Genomic DNA, 20434 nt, shown 5'->3' with positions numbered 1-20434 from the left:
GCTATGAACCAGCAATCCCTTTCCACATCTTTCTTCACACTACTTTCTGTTCCTCAGAGGCAACCCCTTCAATTCTTATAGTTGTTGCTTCTATTTTTAAGAATCCTTATTTATTATTATTATTATTTTTGAGACAGGGTCATACTCTATCACCCAGGCTGGAGTGCAGTGGTACAATTATAGCTCACAGCAGCTTCAAACTCCCAGGCTCAACCAATCCTCTGGCTTCAGCCTCCTGAGTAGCTACAGGTGTGTGAGGACTACAGGTGTGTGCCATTGCACTTGACTTTTTAAAATTTTTTTGTAGAGGTGGGGTCTCGCTATGTTGCACAGGTTGGTCTTGAACTCCTGGCCTCAAGTGATCCTCCCACCTTAGCCTCTCAAAGTGCGGGGGTTGCAGGCATGAGCCACTTGCGTCCAGCCAAGAATGCTTATTTTTAAGGATTATGCTTATAGTTATATTTCTTGATTTTTCAATTTTAGACATTATCAATTAACTTCCTATCCTGAACGATAATGATATTGCCCACTTACATGCCCTCTTCCCCTCCTTTCATCCTATCAACATTTTAATATCACAATTCTTAGCTAAGTTACTATTTAATATTATTATGACAATGTAACTGCTGTTCCCAGTTCAGCAATGTGATGTACTATGGCTGCTCTTTCTTTCTTATACAAGTTTTTGGTTTTTTTGGAGTTATAATTGCCCTATTTTAATTTCTTGATTTGCATATATGTACCTGTTATGATTACATTCCAGATCTTTCCAACAGAACTATAAAATTCCTCTGGTCAAATGCATCATGAAATCTGAGAACTCCATTCTTTCGCTTCCTTGAAGATCTTTCTCCTGGAGCTCTCAGCCTCCTTCTCATTCTGTTCTCAAGGCCTGCATAGCTGTTGTCTTGGGACTTCCCTTCCCTATTATCATAGAAATCCCCTTTGCTCTTTCCTGTGCGGAATCTCTTGTTTTCTTGACTCCATGTCTCTTTCTCTCTTGGCTTATCCCCTTGTTGTGGAAGAGAAGTTCTATTTACAAAGTTTCTTGAGTAAAGGTAAATGGTAGATTAATTTTTGAGATCTTGCATGCCTAAAAGTGCCTTGGTGCTGCTCTCACACTTGATGGTGGTTTGGCTGGATATAGAGTTCTAGGTTGAAAATAATTTCTATAATTTCGAAAGTATTGTTTCATTGTCTTCTAATTTTTGGATTACTAATGAGAAATCCTATGTCATCCTTATTCTTGTTCCTTTGGCTCTGTCCTGCTCAGAAAGCATTTAGGATCCCCTTTTGGTAAGTTTTCTGATATTTTACTGTGATAATCTTGGTGTGAAGTTTTTGGTTCACAGTGCTGGACACTTGGTGAGCTCTTCTACTGTGGCCACTCCTGTCCTCCTGTTCTGGAGAATCATAATGTTGTATTTCTTTGATAAAATCTTCCTCTTAGTTTCCCTGCACTTGAGCTGAGACATCTTTATTAGCTGGATATTGGAATGCCTGGATGGACACTTCATGTTTCTTATCTTTTTTGCTTTATTTTCAATCTCTGTTTATTCTAGTTTCAGGGAAATTTTCACAACTTTATCTTACCTTCTGTTTTTTTTCCTGCCTTCATGTTTTTCACATCTAAGATTTTTTTTTCTGAGTCTGTTCTTATTTATTTATTTATTAAAGAAATGTGGTCTCACTATATTGCCCAGACTGATCTTGAACTCAAGCAATCCTCCCACCTTGCCCTCTCAAAATGCTGGGATTACGGGCATGAGTCACCACACCTGGCACTGTTTTTATTTATGACTGGAGCACTAAAAAGATGTAAAATCTCTATATAAGTGGCTTGAGCTTAATGACTAGTGGCTTCGCTTTAGGGTAATTGGGTGGAGACTAAGTCATTTTACTAGGGGAAGCCAAAGTTTCAAGACAAATATATATATTTTTCTTTTGGGTCAGTTGGCATCAAAGCAACATCTTCTAATCTATCCCTACCAACATTTATTTCACAAACTTTTACTTAATTCCCTGTTTCTGTTTCTAATAAAGCATATATTTATGAGGATGTAAATGCTGCTTTTTGAAAGGGGTAATGGATTCAGATTCAGACAGCAGGGATTTGAGTCCTAGCTCCTCCTAGGCTTGTCTCGAGGATCAAGTAACATAATGTATTAGAAGCACCCTGCAAACTAAAAAGCACTTCATGAGTCTTAAGCATTATTAATAAAAGTTGTGACATTTGGGCAGGTATTCAAAACATTACTGAGAGCTAATTTCTTTTTCCAGACTGCTCCAGCTTGAAATGAAAAGCAAATTTAAAAGAATCATGCAAAGATATTGACACAGCTAAATTTGCTGCAAGCTTCTGGGGTTTTAAATTTTTTTCCTAAAACCCTGAAATGTTGGTTAATTTAGTTCTCTCACCAACCAAATGATGAAGCAATTTGGGCATCTCAGTTGCCCTTTTAAGAAGATAGTGACTCTGGCCTAAAATAAATGAGACGCTTTTGGGCTTGATGGTTTGTGTGTTCAGCAGACCAAGTCAGGTTTATTGGGTAAGAAGGTGAAAGGATGATTAAATGAAGTTTGCTTTTCAATCTATTACATCCTGAAATATAAATTTCTATAATATATAATCAAGGCTTAAAGCCTTGAATTCTGTCTAAAGACTATAGCAAGGAAGAACAATGAACAAATTAATAATTATATTATTATTTCTATGTGTAATAAATTAATTGCATTTAAATGAAGGAGCACTTGCTTTTAAAATTAGTAGATTCTACTTTGATTAATGAAACTATGATTAGATTTTAAAAGTACTCTTGAATGCTTCAAGCATTCCATTTTGCATTATTTTTGTTAAGAACAACATTTAAGTTGGAGTTTTAAGTAAAATAAAAACTCACGATTTTACTTCATTGTTACCTGCATTTGTACAAGTTCAATTACTGATCACAATATATGTTACATAACCCAGTTCCATAAAATAAAATTCTAGGCCTCCAGGTAAAACTGTTCAATTAGCCTGTCCTCCACAGGGTTACCTGTGAGGGAGGCCTTGCCTCATTTTGACTGTAGACATATAAATGCCTCTGCTCCAATGATTTGCTGTAGAAATAACAATTTATTTTCAAGTTCAATTGGAAATTATTGTTGCACAGTTTAGTAGTCAATAATGACAAGTTAGATCAGGAGATTTCCTGCAGTTATTCTCTATATTTCTTTTGTATGGTATGGCAGCCGATAGCCACCTGTAGCTATTGAACACTTGAGAAGTGGCTAGTGCCATTGGCAAACTTGGTTTTTAATTTTAATTAATTTAAATGTAAAAAGCTACATGTAGCTAGTGGTTACTGTATTGAGCGGCACAGCTTTGTATCATCACAATTGATATGTGCATGAGAAATTCCTCAAAGAGCTCACTTTCTAACAAAACAGCTGATATTCCAAGAGGTTTTATTGTGTAAAATGTATTATTGGTTCCATATGTAGACAGAGCTTGGTGCTCAGACGGATGAAAGGAACCCATGCAATAACTTCTGCACTCACAGGTTGGAAAACGTTGTTCTAGAGTGAAGGAAAATTAAAGGATAAGAACAGTAAAGAGAAAAACTTATTAGAAGTATTGGAACATGTGTAACCAGTTAAGGAGTGCTAAAGGATGAAAGCCTATGAATTCTGGACCTTGGGGTATTTTGCGTGTGTCCTAAAGTGTGTGACTCCTCTTTTCATTCTGCTGATTATTGTTTGGCATCAGATCTTAAACTCCAACTTCATATAAGAAAATAGAGTTTACTTTCTCTTTAGTGACCTTTTAAAACCTGTAAAGAATATGTAAAAAAAAAAAATTGTAAAAAATAATGTAAAAAAATAGAGATTCTCAGTGATTTGCACTGGAAGTCATGCCTGATGGTCTACTTTCTTGTCAACAGTTGCAGAATAGCTTGATTTAAAAATTAATATCCTCATTTAATGATTAGATATAAACAGATCTCCTTCATGATATAACTGAACCATACTGCCCCCTTCTTTCCCCAGCTCCATGTCTGTGGGAGGCACTGCATATATCACAGTCACAGATAAACACTAAAGGTAGGGGTTGTGGTGGTTATCTCCCACCAACCCACCCACCCAAACCTACAATCTAAATTAAAACAGTGTGCTTGTGGCCGGGAGCCGTGGCTCATGCCTGTAATCCCAGCACTTTGGGAGGCCGAGGTGGGCGGATCACGAGGTTGAGAGATGGAGACCATCCTGGCTAACACGGTGAAACCCTGTCTCTACTAAAAATACAAAAAATTAGCCGGGCGCGGTGGCGGGTGCCTGTAGTCCCAGCTACTCGGGAGGCTGAGGCAGGAGAATGGCGTGAACCCAGGAGGCGGAGCTTGCAGTGAGCCGAGATCGCACCACTGCACTCCAGCCTGGGCGACAAAGCGGGACTCTGTCTCAAAAAAAAAAAAACAAAACAAACAAAAAATAAAACAAAACAACAACAGCAACAAAACAGTGTGCCCGTTACTGCAGCTTTAAGGCAAGTTTCCTAGGGCCTTGGAGCACCACTTCAAGACCCTCCAGTTTAGAAATTCGGTAGCTTCCACTTCCCTAGCAGGAGGGGAGAAACTTTAGATTGTAGAATTATTTTGTCCATAACTAAATGTCAACTCTACATTATGAATCTAACAAAAAATATATTTTGTGATTCTTAACCTGGATCTAGGATGGAAAATATATGGATGGCAAAAGGAGAAGCATTCCTTTTAGTGCTGAAGCTAATCCTGAGTTAGTGAAAAGAAAATGAAATACTAAATAACAACCTATGTATTAGGAGCTAGCTTCAAATTATATACTTATTGTTTAATATTCTCAAACACTGATGTATTCCATAGTCCCATCAGCTCTCAAAATAGGATAGCTATTTCCGCTAACTGCCCTAGATGGCACTAAAAGCAATTTCACAGGTATTAAACCTTGACATTCTAAACAAATATGTTGTTCTTTAAAACAGCAACATACATCTGGCTGGAGAAAGTAATTGGAATGCAGGGAACAATGCCCTGTTCTGCTCCATCACTTAATGATCAATTACGTTTCATCAAGTAATTCATAAGACATATTAGATAATTCCACGAGCCACACAACTGCTAACCTTTGCATGGCCTTGCTGACATGGTTACTTAGTCTGAACAATGCATGGACCATTTGCTAAAAATACATGTGTTTCAGTTTGGGAGAGGAGGAACAAATCCAAGACTGTCCAAATCCAAGACTGTACATTAAGTTCTGACTTCATTTTATAAAAAGGAACAAAGCAGTAGTTCTACCAAGCAATGAAGCACAGAGATTGGAAAATGACCCATCAAGCACTATGGACACAAATGTTGCCATCTACCTATTACATTGACATTTACCTGAATGAGGTTGGCAGCTGGGTTCCTTCTTTTCTCAAAGTGTTTCTGGCGGTGTTGTTCTTGTACTTTTAATGCAAAACCTGAGCCAAGAATGCCCTGGAACAAAATACAAAAATGGCACTCAAAAATTTCAAAAGCACTGTTAAATAATACAAATATTAAAAAGTCACTAAAATGAGTCTGAGAGAAGACAAACGGTATGTAACCTGTCCATAAACATGTTACTTATTAAAATAAGCAGTATTTATCTCCATTATAATACCAATAGCCAATGGCAAATTGTTGGGCAATACTGCCAGGAGATACAACTTCTGTTCTTTAGTAAGTCAATTAGGCATTGTCATTTATTATCTTTTGTGGTATAGCATAGGCACCATGATTATAAATAAAATCACAATAAAATTTTTTTGTGTGTGTGTGGCCTTCTCTGTGACATTTCTTTTTGCCTAAGTTAGATTGAATGGTCTCATCCAGTGATGGAATGTAGAGAACATGAATTTCAACTTGGGACAGAGCTGGATTTTAAATCTGAGGGAGTTAAAGTCTCACTGCTGTGAACATGGGAATACTTCTAGCACTTTGATGAGACTCTGAAAGTTAGATTCTCTATTCATGAAATGGAGGAGAGAGGACTGTATAAAATCTGTCCCAGCTGTAGTTCTTTATAATGTTATAACTGTACACCTACTAAAAGAAAAGTAAAATGGAGAGCAGGGATACTCAGTTTTGAAGATATAGAGTAGAAGGTTTTCTATTTTGCCCATTTGTACACTAGAGACAAGAACGTGGATCATTGCAAAGCACATTCCCATTTTAATTCACACTTTTACCATTCCTTGCCTTTTTTATTTTGGCTCACCTATTCAGTTTTTGGGATTAGTAAGATTAGTATTCCCTTCTAGGTTTACATTAGTTTTGGGCCAGTTTGCTTTTCTTCTGCTTATCATCTTGATCTGCCAAAATTCTGGTTCTTTGATGTCCCCCACTCTTTTCAATTTGCTCTGGTCTACTAACATTTGTAAAAACAAGATGCTTTGTCTCAGCCTTGGGTTGGCTTTTGGAGCTTGCTAAATTCAGTCTCTGGGCTTTGTCTTTAACTCTTGAGTTTATTAGCATGGGGCTGGGAGCTCTGCTGCTTTCAAGTCTGTGGATTTTACTTGCTAGCTATAAATTATTAGTTTTTTATTAAACTTCAAGGAGTCTAACCCTTTGGTTAGAGATGGACATTTTATAAGCACTAAGTCAGTATTTGCTACAGGTAAGGAATGGTTGCTTTTCTTTTCTTTTTATTTTTAGAGTAGCTCAAAGATGGTTCAAAGATGCTATAGGCTGTCTGGAGAGGTGGTGGGTTTTTCATTTCTAGAAGGTGTTAAGTCTCAACTGAATAACAACTTGGCTGAGATATTTTTGGGCTCTAGATAACCTTTAACCTTCCTTCTTATCTTGAGATTCCACACTTCTGAGTACATCAGTGACAATAACCAGACAATAAGTAATGCAATCATGTTTAAAATACGCAGTGGTCTGATAATACTATTTGCTATTCGTGAGCAATGATCTACTCCATTATTAATTAGTATAAATGACTGTACTATGAAATTAGAAATTACATCATAGGTTCTGTTTTCCATCTCTCCTTTTCAGTGACTGTCTTACGCTGTCTAAGATCTCTATCTCATACAGGTTGTGATTGTACAAACTAAGCTTTATAAAAACCTGGTCTCTGTGATCTGGTTTATAGATTTAAACAACATTTCCCTCCATTTAGGTGTTATAAAAATGCCCCTCCATTTCTAAATCCAGAACAACTTAAGTCATTTGTAACTTCTAATTTTTTTCTGCTGTGTAAGATCATTTAGGAAAGATTTCTTTATTTTCCCTTTAATACTACTTTTCATAAAGTGTAGACATGTAAGAGAATATGAAATACCAAAATTTCTGGCATATATTTATAATATGTAGTATATATACATGCATTTATGTGCATATATGTGTATAATCCACTTGTATGGAGCATAATTTAGATTTTGCAGACATTGAATTAACAGCACTAGCTACCATTTTGAGCACTTATGATGTGGATGTGAGGTTCGGAGTTTAATCCCCTTTGGAAAATAAAGACAGGCCCTACATAGCACAAATTTATCATCTGCCAAACAATCTAAAATGTGCTGAAAATCACATTGGCATTGCTCGGAAACATATATTAGTGAATGGTAAATGTTCACTACGTATTTCTTGTGCCAGACTGTACATTACAGCAGTTATTAAACCAGGTCTGCTTATTGTCTCATCATGGCTCCTTTCCAATTTTTTTCCACCTCTCTCTTAGTACACAGCTTGGTGCACCTAAACAGAAGTCTGTGAAAATAAGGTCTATTATATTTGTATATACACACATAAAACATGGCTTAAGCTTTGAACATATATGTCATCCCTTCAAATACTGACACCAATAAATGTAAAGAAATTTACCCTTCATTATCTTCTGGATTAAATGAACCTAATTTGTAACCCACACATAGCAAATAGGCAATGCTGAAAGACATCCTATTTTTTTTATTTTTTATTTTTTTTGAGATGGAGTCTTGCTCTGTTGCCCAGGCTGGAGTGCAGTGGAGCGATCTCGGCTCACTGCAAGTTCCGCCTCCTGGGTTTACATCATTCTCCTGCCTCAGCCTCCCGAGTAGCTGGGATTACAGGTGCCCGCCACCACGCCTGGCTGATTTTTTGTATTTTTTAGTAGATATATGGTTTCACCATGTTAGGCAGGATGGTCTCGATCTCCTCACCTTGTGATCCGACCGCCTCGGCCTCCCAAAGTGCTGGGATTACAGGCGTGAATCACCACGCCCAGCAAGATGCCCTGTTTTTTTAAACGGTTTTTAACATGTTATTATATGCAATAATTACATTTAGTTAATATTGTTAAGGATTACAGTGGCCAATATTTTTAATGGAATGGTTAATATCGTGAGTCAAACAGCACTAGTTCTTGCACTGAATTTACTAGCTGGAGGTCTCAAGGAATTCAGTCTCTATAAAACTCAATTTCTTCATCAATGAAAATACTCTTAGCAGGAATATCTAGCAGAAGACAAGGGAGCACTCTAAAAAGGAGAAAGACCTGCATATCAGGGTAACACAGGGGAGCTGGGGCTTCTTCTGTGAGCTCATTAGCCCAGAGATGGAGCGGGCACCAGGGGAAGTGACCCCACAGTGGCGCTTTGGATGGGTGGCTTGTATGACTCTGTGATGTGCAGGATGGCCCTTCTGCTTTGAGGGTAAGATGGAGAAAGGCTCTTTTCTTTCTTGGTTCTCAGGTGTCCTGGGTGGGAGGAACCCTACATAGGGGCAGCCCACAATCCACCTCTAGCTTTCTCAGCAAAATGTCAATGTGTCTTCCTAAATTTCAATCAGACAACTCTTTTGGTTGGCAGATACACAGGATATAATAAAATCTCTGGCAATCTTGTTTTTTTCTAAAGGTATATATGGACCATTCAGTCTTTCATTTAATAAATAAGGACTCAGAAAATATTGTGAAGTTTCAGTAAAAGATCCTTAGTAGAGGTTACTTTTCTTGGGGTTCTTAAGAAATGTAATTTTCTGTGAAAGCAAAATTTTCAGATTTCCAACATAGGTTAATTTAATTTGCATATAAAAATTTCATACTTACTTTATTGGAAACATTTCCAAGAATGACTACTTAGTCTCTGACCTTTAACTTAACCTAGTGACATATTTAACCTCCCTGTGATAGTTTAGAGTTTCATTATGGGGACTGCCTTTTTGCTGTGCTGGGTGCAGCCAACTTCCAGAGGTTTGTTGACCCTAACACTAATTGGCCCTAGATCTTCATACATTTTGTTTTCCCTTTTAATTTAATTTTATTTTTACTGACAGGATACACATTTTGAACACTGATGTCTGCTTGCTACTCACAGATTTCCTTTTCCCTTCTTTGCTGTTAGTCTTTTACCATTTCTTTCTGTTGCAGTGTTTGTTCTATCATCTTCCTCTATATTTGTTGTTTATAATCTTCAAAGAATTGTGAAACCATATAGGTGAGTTTATCAGAATTTTCTCTGAATGAAGACTAGGTTATGAATTAGGTCTCAAGTGGCTCTCCTATGAGGACAGAACATAGCCTGTTGTCTATTTCAACAGCCCAGAGGTTGCCTACCTCCTTGTTCATAGTTTTTCACTGAATCATAGAGGTTGCTCTACATGTGGCCTCAGGATAAATATAAACACAAAAGCTGCAATTATTTTGTGCCATTATTTTGGGAAAAAACCCAAGACTGCGTTGTATTGTTTCTAAAGGTATTTTCCTGTAGGGAATCTGATTATTGAGTGAATCTCTTCTCTGTTCTGAATTGTTGAGATTGCCAGATGAAGTTGCCTTGGATACGTAAGATTTTTTTTTTTTTAATTCTCCTGGATTTCATCATTTTGTTCCAGGAAACATGTATTTCTAGATTCATACAGGCAAAGGGAAGTAACATTTATTGAGAGTTCTCTTCATGACAAGCACTTGACTTACATTATTACATTGGTCCGCACAAAATTTCTCTGGGCTCAATAATTCTTCCTCCATTCTATTAAAAAAGAAACTTATTCAGGGTCACTGTTCAGGCTGAATTGCGTCCTTCCAAAATTCATATGTTGAAGTCCTAATCCCCATGACCTCAGAATGTGACCTTGTTTGAAAATAGGGTCCTTACAGAGGTAATCAAGTTAAAACGAGGTCATTAGGATGGACCCTAATCAAATATGACTGGTGTTCTTCTAGGAAGTAGAAATTTGGACACAGATGATGTGAAGACACAGGAAGAAGAGCCATCTATAAGCCAAGAAGAGAGGCCTGGAACAGTTCTTTCTCTCATGGCTCTCGTGGTTTCTCAATGCTTTGATTTTGGACGTCCAGTCTTGGGAACTGTGAGACAATACCTTTCTATTGTTTAAGTCACCCAGTCTGTGGTACTTGTTAAGGCAGCCCTAGTAAACTAAAGCAGTCATATAGTTAGTATGTGACAAAGATGTATTCAAACTGAGGTCTAGTACCCAAGCATATGCATGGCCTTTTCAGTCTCTTTTCTGTGATTTTGAGTGTTCTGGGGCAGAACGATCTGGTGAATCTCAAGTTGGGCACTGGTGGGACAAGGGTGTTCTCTGCACTTATTAATAGGCAGAGGAGAAGCCCTACCACCTAAAAGAGCTTTGGAGAGGTGCTCTGGGGTCTCTGGTTGGCACAGCTTGAGCTGTGTCTGGAGCAAGACTGGATCTATTTTCCTTAAGCACTTCTGCTCCCACCGCGTTAACCCTCCTTTTTATTGGCTCCTCCTTCCCTACCCCAGATGGAGCGAACAAAAGCAAGAACTTGGAAATGGGGGCAAACTGTAATATTTTGAACAGCTGCCTTTAAAGACACAAGAGAATAAAAGTATGAGAAAGGCAGGCTTCATTCACTAAGGAGAAAATAATCAGAAGCTTGGGGGCAGATAAATGTGCCCTTTATTCTGATAAGATACAGAAACTGCTCATTAAAAAAATCAATGATGATGACACAATGAATAAATCATCTGACATGTTTAACACCCTTTAAGGTCATATGCTTTTCACTCAAATGGATCTGAAGAGAAAAATACTCCATTGTGCACATCTGTCTCTTAAGTAGCACACATTATAAACCAAATTGGAAGGATCAGTTTTAAAAGAATATAGCTTTAAATCTTTGCAAATATTTTAAATGTCTTAGTAGCATGTTGCCTAAAAAGTGAGCCATCTGAATGATTATTTGGTCACAAAGTATGAGCCTACATTAAATAAAGTCTCAGATTAAGTGTCTCCAAGGGAAGACCATATTTTATAAATTATCCAAGTAGATATATTTAGAAAAGTCAACATTATATCGGAAAAATTATATTTGTAAATGATATAGATATGTTCCCAAGCATACGAATTTGTGAGAGCTCACTCTAATAAGTCTCTAAGATCTAATTTAAACTGCTTTATTGGTGCAAAGATACTCACGGCAGGAAGTGCAAAGAAAGAAATGCCAAGGAGTGCAAAGCCTGCAGAAAGCAATCTTCCCAGCCAAGTTAGGGGAGTTTTGTCTCCATAGCCAATAGTTGTCAATGTAATCTAGAAACAAAATAAATAGAATGTGCAGCTTAAGTACTTGAGAGGAAAGTTAGGACCTATGAACAGGAGGCAAGCAACGTTTCCACTAAATCATTATTCAACAAATCTTGTTCGTGCTTTTTATTACTGTGCTTTAATTTTCCATGACGCATGACAGAACTTCTCTTTGTTTAAGGAAAGGAATAACCTACATACTTGTTCCTCCCTTATAACACAGTTTTCCGTCTTTTCTAAGTGTATTTAAGGAAAGATTATTTAAGTAAGTGGATAACCATCAGTGATACAGAAATGATAGCACCATGGATTTAGGACTGGATCAGTACACAAATAATAATTTATGTTAATTTAGGCTGTCCCTTCGTTACCTTAGCAGGCATTTCCTGAAGGTCTGGTGTGTGCAAGGTATGTGTTAAGATTTGTAGTGGAACAAAAATGAGGGCATAGTTCTTGTCCTAAGATATTTATGGCCTAATAAGAGAAACATGCCACACATGAATAATTAAAATGCAAAACAGGATGAGAGAGGTATTATAATGGAGGTACAAATAACCTGCTATGGGAATTCAAGGAAGAGATTAGTTATTATAAGCTTGAGGTGTTGAGGGAGCTTTACTAGGGAGATGTCATCATACCTGGGCTTTGAAAGAGGGGTAACATTTTGAGAAGCAGAAATGATAAAGAAGGTGATCTAGGGAGGAGAAAGAGGTGGCTAGCTGCAGAACAGTGAGAACACATAGAGTAGATTCTGAAAAGTATGAGTTGTTCAGCTGGACTGGGGCATGGTGGATTTAAAAAGGATTAGTGACTTCTTCAATTTATTTTTTTAATATTTTATAGACTACTGTGTACAGGTCTTTCAGCTCCTTGGTTAAATTTATTCCTAAGTATTTTAATTTTTGTAGCTACTGTAAATGGGATTGCTCTCTTGATTTCTTTTTTGGAAAGTTTGTTGTTAATGTATAGAAATGCTAGTGATTTTTGTGGTGTTGATTGTGTCTCCTGTAACTGTACTGAATTTATTAGTTCTAGCAGTTTTTTTCTGGAATCTTTAGGGTTTTCTATATATAAGATTATGTTGTCAGCAAACAGCAAAAATTTCCTTTCTTCCTTTCTTATTTGGATGCCTTTTATTTCTTTCTCTTGTCTAACTGCTCTGGCATGGACTTCCACTACTATATTGAATAGAAGTGGCAAAAGTGAGCATCCTTGTTTTTTTTAAATCAAACTAATAATTTATTAATAATTTTTAATTTTTGTGGGTACACAGTAGGTATATATATTTATGAGTTATGTGGGATATTTTGATACTGGCATGCGATATGTAATGATGATATCAGGGTAAAAGGGGTATCCATCACCTCAAGCATTTATCCTTTGTGTTACAAATAATCCAATTATACTCTTAATTATTTTAAAATGTACAATTAAATTATTACTGACTATAGTCACACTTTTGTACTTTCAAATACTAGACGTTATTCACTCTTTCTGGTTTTTTTTTGGTGTCCATTAACCATCTCCGCTTCCCTCTCTGCTCACTCTCTCCACTACCCTTCTCATACTCTGGTACCCATCATTCTACTCTCTATCTTTGTGAGTTTAACTGTTAATTTTTTTTAATTATTATACTTTAAGTTCTAGGGTACATGTGCACAATGTGCAGGTTTGTTATATATGTATACATGTGCCATGTTGGTGTGCTGCACCCATTAACTCATCATCTACATTAGGTATTTCTCCTAATGCTATCCCTCCCCTCTCCCCCCCCCCCATGACAGGCCCCAGTATGTGATGTTCCCCATCCTGTGTCCAAGTGTTCTCATTGTTCAATTCCCACCTATGAATGAGAACATGTGGTGTTTGATTTTCTGTCCTTGCGATAGTTTGCTGAGAATGATGGTTTCCAGCTTCATCCATGTCCCTACAAAGGACACGAACTCATCCTGTTTTGTGGCTGCATAGTATTCCATGGTGTATATGTGCCACATTTTCTTAATCCTTAACTGTTAATTCTTAGTTTCCACAAATAAATGAGACCATGTGAAGTTTGTCTTTCTGTGCCTGGCTTATTTTACTCAACAAAATGAGCTCCGCTTGCATCCATGTTGCTGCAAATGACAGGTTCTCATTCTTTTTAATGGCTGAATAGTACTCCATTGTGTATATATGCCACATTTTCTTTATCTGTCTGTTGATGGATGCTTGGGTTACTTCCAAATCTTGGCCATTGTGTATAGTGCTGCAATAAACATGAGAGTGCAGATATCTCTTTGATATACTGATTTCCTTTCTTTTGGGAATATACCTAGCAGTGGGATTGCTGGATCACATGGTAGCTCTATTTTTAGTTTTATGAGAAACCTCCAAGCTCTTCTCCATAGTGGCTAAATTATACTAATTTACATTCCCACCAACAGTGTACAATGGTTCCTTTTTCTCCAAATCCTTGCCAGAATTTGTTATTGCCTGTCCTTTTCTCCAAATCCTTGCCAGCATTTGTTATTGCCTGTCTCCAAATCCTTGACAGCATTTGTTAGTGCCTGTCATTTACTGGAGTGAGATGATATCTCATTGCAGTTTGATTTGCATATCTCTGATGATTAATTATATTGAGCACCTTTTCATATGCCTGTTTGTGGTTTGTAATGTCATCTTTTGAGAAATATCTATTTAGATTTTTTGCCCGTTTTAAAATTGGATTATTTTATTTTTTCTTATACAGTCATGAGAGCTCCTTATATATTCTGGTTATTAATCTCTTGTCAGATGGATAATTTGCAAATATTTTCTCCCATTCTGTGGGTTGTCTCTTCATTTTGTTGATTGTTTCCTTTGCTGTGCAGAAGCTTTTTCACGTGATGTGATCCCATTTGTTCGTTTTTGCCTTGGTTGACTGTGCTTGTGGGATATTACTCACGAAATCCTTGCCCTGGAGAATTTCCCTCATGTTTTCTTGTAGTAGTTTCATAGATTGAGGTATTAGATTTAACTTTTTAATCCCATTTTGATTTGATTTTTTTCCATATGGCAAGGGATAGGGGTCTAATTTCATTCTTCTTCATATGGATATCCAGTTTCTCCAGCACCTTTTATTGAAGAGACTGTCCTTTCCTCGTTGCATGTTCTTGGTACTTTTGTCGAAAATGAGTTCACTGTGGATGTACGGATTTGTTTCTGGTTTCTCTCTTCTGTCCCATTGGTCAGTATATGTTTTTATGCCAGTACCATTTTGTTTTGGTTACTATATCTCTGTAGTATAATTTGAAGTCAGGTAATGTGATTTCTCCAGTTTTTCTCTTTTTGCTTAGGATAGCTTTGGCTCTTCTGGGTATTTTCTGGTTCCATATAAATTTTAGCACTGTTTTTTCCATTTATGTGAAGAATGTCATTGGTATTTTTGTTAGGAATTGCTCTGAATTTGTAGATTGCTTTGAGAAATATGGAAATTTTAACAATAATGATTATTCTAATCCATGAACATGAAATATCTTTCCTTTTTTTGTATCCTCTTTAATATCTTTCATCAGTGTTTCATAGTTTTCTTTGTAGAGATCTTTCACTTCTCTGGTTAATTCCTAGGTATTTAATTTTATTTGTAGCTATTGTAAATGGGATTATTTTCTCAATTTCTTTTTCAGATTGTTTGCAGTTGGCATATAGAAATGCTGCTGATTTTTGTATTTTATTTTGTATTCTGCAACTTGACTGAATTTGTTTATCAGTTCTAATAGTTTTTTTATGGGGACTCTAGGTTTTTCCAAATATAAGATCATATCATCTGCAAACAAGCATAACTTGACTTCTTCCTTCCCAATTTGGATGCTCTTTATTTCTCTCTTCTCTGATTGCTGTAGCTAGGACTTTCAGTACTATGTTGAATAACAGTGGTGAAAATGAGCATCTTTGTTGTGTTCTAAATATAGGAGGAACCATCCTTGCATCCCTGAGATAAATCTCACTTGGTCATGATGGATGATCTTTTTAATGTGTTGTTGAATTCGGTTTGCTAGTATTTTGTCAAGGATTTTTCCATCAATGTTCATTAGGGATGGTGGCCTGTAGTTTTCTTTTTTAAATGCATTTTTTGTCTGGTTTTGGTATTAGGATAACACTGGCCTCATAGAATGAGTTTAGAAGTATTTGTTCCTCCTCTACTTTTTGGAATAGTTTGAGCAGGATTGGTATTAGTTCTTCTTTCATTGTTTGGTAGAATTCAACAGTAAAGCCATCAGGTTTCAGGTTTTTCTTTGCTGGGATAATTTTTTTTATGGCTTCAATCTCATTACTTGTTATTGGTCTGTTCAGGTTTTGGATTTCTTCATGGTTCAATGTTGGTAGGTTGTATGTATATAGGAATTTATCCATTTCTTCTAGGTTTTCCAATTTATTGGTATATAGTTTCTCACAGTAGCCTCTAATGATCCTTTGAATTTCTGTAGTATCAGTTTTAATGTCTCCTTTTTCATCTCTGATTTTATTTATTTGGGTCTTCTCTCCTTTTTTCTTAGTCTGGCTAAGTTTGTCATTTTTGTTTATCTTTTCAAAAAACAACTTTTTCTTTTGTTTATCTTTTTTTTTTTTCTTTTTTGAGACAGAGTCTCACTCTGTTGCCCAGGCTGGAGTGCAGTGGTGTGATCTGGGCTCACTGCAAGCTCCGCCTCCCGGGTTCACGCCATTCTCCTGCCTCAGCTTCCCGAGTAGCTGGGACTACAGGCGCCTGCCACCACGCCCAGCTATTTTTTTTTGTATTTTTTAGTAGAGACAGGGTTTCATCATGTTAGCCAGGATGGTCTCGGTCTCCTGACCTCATGATCCGCCTGCCTCAGCCTCCCAAAGTGCTGGGATTACAGGCGTGAGCCACAGTGCCTGGCCTTGTTAATCTTTTGTATTTTCTTTGTTTCAATTTCATTTATTTCTGCTCTGATCTTTATTTCCTTTCTCCTACTAACTTTGGGTTTGGTTTACTCTTGCTCTTGTAGGTTGCATAATAGGTTGTTTATTTGAAGTTTTTCTTCTTTACTGATGTAAGCACTTTTAGTTATAAACTTCCCTTTTAGTACTCCTTTTGCTGTATCCCATTGGTTTTGTTATAGGTTGTGTTTCCATTATCATTTGTTTCAAGACATTTTTCAATTTGCTTCTTAATCTCTTCATTGACCCATTGGTCATTCAGGAGCATATTGTTTAATTTACATGTGTTTGTATAGTTTCCAAATTTTCTCTTGTTACTGATTTTTAGTTTCATTCAATTGTGGTCAGAGAAGATACTTGATATTATTTCAATTTTCTGAATGTCTTAAGACTTGTTTTGTGGCCTAACATGTGGCCTATCCTGATCTATCCTTGAGAATAATCCATGTGTTTAGGAGAAGTGTGTGGAGTATTCTGCAGCTGTTGGATGAAATGTTCTATAAATATTTATTAGGTCCATTTGGTCTATTGTGCAGATTAAGTTTGATGTTTCTTTGTTGATTTTCTGTCTGGATGATCTGTCCAATGCTGAAAGTTGGGTGTTGACGTTTCCAGCTATTATTGACTTGGGGTATGTCTCTCTCTTTTGCTCTAATAATATTTGCTTTATATATCTGGGTGCTCCAGTGTTGGGTGCATATATATTTATAGTTGTTATATCCTCTTGCTGAATTGATTCCTTTATCATTATATAATGACCTTCCTTGTCTCTTTTGATAGCTTTTGTCTTGAAACCTATTCTGTCTGATCTAAGTGTAGCTACTCCTGCTCTTTTTCGGTTTCCATTTGCATGGGATATCTTTTTTTATCCCTTTATTTTCAATCTATGTGAGTCTTTATAGATGAAGTATGTTTCTTGTAGTCAACAGATCATTGGGTCTTGCTTTTTAAAATTTAATTTTAATCCATTGAATCCATTCAATCCTGTGTCTTTTGATTGGAGAGTTTAATCCATTTATATTCAGTGTTATTATGGATAAGTAAGGACTTACTCCTGCCATTTTGTTATTTGTTTTCTAGTTGTTTTGTGGTCTTCTCTTGCTTTTTTCTTTCCTTCTTGTCTTCCTTTCATTGAAAGTGATTTTCTCTGGTGGTATGATTTAGTTTCTTGCTTTTTATTTTTTTGTGTGTATCCATTGTATGCTTTTTTGATTTTAGGTTACTATGAGGCTTGCAAATAATATCTTATAACCCATTATTTTAAACTGATCACAATTTAACTCCGATTGCATAAACAAATAAACAAAAAGAAAATTAATGAAAATGCTACATTTTAACTTTGTCATCCCACTTTTAAACTTTTTGTTGTTTCTACTTTATCTTATTATGCTGTGTATATCTTGAAAAGCTGTTGTAGTTATTTTTGATAAGTTCATCTTTTTGTCTTTCTACTTAAAATATAAATAATTAGCACAATTATAGTGCTATAATATTCTGTTTTTCTGTGTACTTACTATTACCAGTGAGTTTTCTACCCTTAGATGGTTTTTAGTTTTTCCTTAATGCCTTTTTTCTTTCAAACTAAAGAAATCACTTTAGCATTTCTTATAGGACAGGTCTGGTGTTGATGAAATGCCTCAGTTTTTGTTTGTCTGGGAAAGTCTTTATTTCTCCTTCATGAAGGCTATTTTTGCCAGATATACTATTCAAGGATAAAATATTTTTTCCCTTCAGCACTTTAAATATGCCATGCCACTCTTTCCTGGCCTGTAAGGTTTCCACTGAAAAGTCTGCTGCCAGATGTATTGGAGCTCCATTGCACGTTATTTATTTCTCTTCTTTTGCTGCTTATAAAATCTTTTCTTTATCCTTGAATTTTGCAAGTTTATTAGTGAATGCTTTGAGGTTAAATCTGTTTGGTGTTCTATAGCCTTCTTTTACTTGAATATTGATATCTTTCTCTAGGTTTGGGAAGTTCTGTTATTATCCCTTTGAATAAACTTTCTCTCTCTCTCCCTACTTTTTAAGGCCAATAACTTAGATTTGCCCCTTTGAAGCTATTTTATAGATATTTTGGGCATTTCCTTCTTTTTTATTCTTTTATCTTTTGTCTCTGCTGACCATGTATTTTTAAATAGCCTGTCTTCATGCTCACTAGTTCTTTCTTCTGCTTGATCAATTCTGCTATTAAGGGACTCTGATGATTCTTCAGTATGTCAGTTGCATTTTTGACCTCCAGATTTTCTGCTTGATTCTTTTTAATTATTTCAATTTATTTGTTAAATTTATCTGATAAAATTCTGAATTCATTCTCTGTGTTATGTTGAGTGTCTCATGTTTTCCTGGATTATCTTGAGGTTGTGGTGTTTGTCAGTGTCTGGGCATTGAAGAGTTAGGTATTTATTGTAGTCTTTGTAATCTGGGCTTGTTTGTAGCCATCCTCCTTGGGAAGGCTTTCCTGGTATTTGAAGGGACTTCAGTATTATGATCTAAGTTTTTGGTCACTGCAGGCATTTCTGCATTAAGGGGTACCCCAAGCCCAGTAATGCTATGGTTCTTGTAGACTTGTAGATGTATCACCTTGGTGGTCTTGAATAAGATCTGAAAGAATTCTCTGGATTACTGGGCAAAAACTCTTGTTCTCTTCCTTACATTCTCCCAAACAAACGAGTCTCTCTTTCTCTGTGCTGAGGTGCCTGGAGCTTGGTGAGGGGCGACACAAGCAGCCTTGTGGCCACCATCACTGAGACTGCACTGGGTTAGACCTGAAGCCAGCACAGCACTAGATCTTGCTCAAGTGGGCATCCTTATTTTGTTCTGGATCTTAGAGGAAAGGATTTCAATTTTTCACTGTGGAGTATAATGTTAGCTATTGGCTTATAATATATGCTTTTTATTGTGTTGAGTTACATTCCTTCTGTACCTAATTTGTTGAGGATTTTTATTATGAAATAAAATTTGATCAAATGATGTTTCTGCATCTCATGAGATGATCTGCAATAAGCCAGGCACAGAAAGGTAAATACTGCATGTTTTCACTACATGGGGAATCTGAAACAATGAAACCCATGGTAGAAGAGAGTAGTATGCTGGTTACCAGAGGCTGGGGGTTGGGGGAATGGGGAGATGATGGTCAAAGGACACAAAGCCTCAGTTAAACAGGAACAATATGTGTATGTGTGTGTGTATATATATATATATATGAGATCTATTGCACAGTGTGGTGAATACAGTTAGTAATGTGTATTGTGCATTTCAAAATTACTAAGACTAAATTTCAAATTCTCTTACCACATTTTTTTTTTCTGAGACTGAGTCACTCTGTCACCCAGACTGGAGTGCAGTGGCACGGTCTCAGCTTACCGCAAACTGCCTCGCAGGTTCAAGTGATTCTCCTGTTTCAGCCTCTTGAGTAGCTGGGATTACAGGCATCCGCCACCACACCCAGCTAATTTTTGTATTTCTAGTAGAGACAGGGTTTCACCATGTTGGCCAGGCTGGTCTTGAACTTTTGACTTCAAATGATCCCCCTGCCTTGGCCTCCCAAAATGCTGGGATTATAGGAGTGAGTCACTGCACCCAGCCACACCACAAAAATTGATATGTATTTGAAGTGGTGGATATGTTAATTAGCACGATGTAATGATTCCACATTGTGTTTGTAAATCATAGCATCACTTTCTACCCCAGAAATATATACAACTATAATTTCTCAATTTACAATGAAAGAAAAGTAAAGGATTAGTAAAGAGAAGGTTAACTAGATATGCTAAAGCTAGGCCAGGGAATGTCTTTGAATATCATGCCTCTCCTATGATCAGACTGCTCCAGGCGTTCCCCACATCTCTTAGAACAAAGTCCCAGCTCCTCCATGGCCTGCAGGGTTCTTCATGATTGACCTCAGCTAACTTCTCAGATATGGTCTTCTACCATGCTCTCTCTCATTCTGCTTCTGCCCCTCCTGCCTTGCTATT

At 36.7% G+C, this 20434-nt stretch overlaps 1 protein-coding gene across 9 annotated transcripts in view; it reads right to left on the bottom strand.

The window, feature by feature from the left end:
* Window positions 1-20434, bottom strand: part of KCNQ5 (potassium voltage-gated channel subfamily Q member 5) — a 576790-nt gene that overhangs the window by 82048 nt on the left and 474308 nt on the right. For 8 of the 9 annotated variants that reach the window (NM_001160133.2, NM_019842.4, NM_001160134.2 and 5 more), the window contains exons 6-7: window positions 11439-11549; window positions 5403-5498 (exon numbers count right to left, since the gene is read on the bottom strand). In NM_001160133.2, the coding sequence (NP_001153605.1) occupies window positions 5403-5498; window positions 11439-11549 (207 nt within the window). The remainder of the gene's footprint in view (window positions 1-5402; window positions 5499-11438; window positions 11550-20434) is intronic. The other variant, XM_047419077.1, reaches the window with a different exon arrangement.

The sequence above is a fragment of the Homo sapiens genome, chromosome 6 (genome assembly GCF_000001405.40).
Source record: "Homo sapiens chromosome 6, GRCh38.p14 Primary Assembly".
Taxonomy (NCBI): Eukaryota; Metazoa; Chordata; class Mammalia; order Primates; family Hominidae; genus Homo; species Homo sapiens.
Note: the sequence above shows the minus strand (reverse complement) of the source record. Positions and strands in the feature narration are given on the sequence as shown.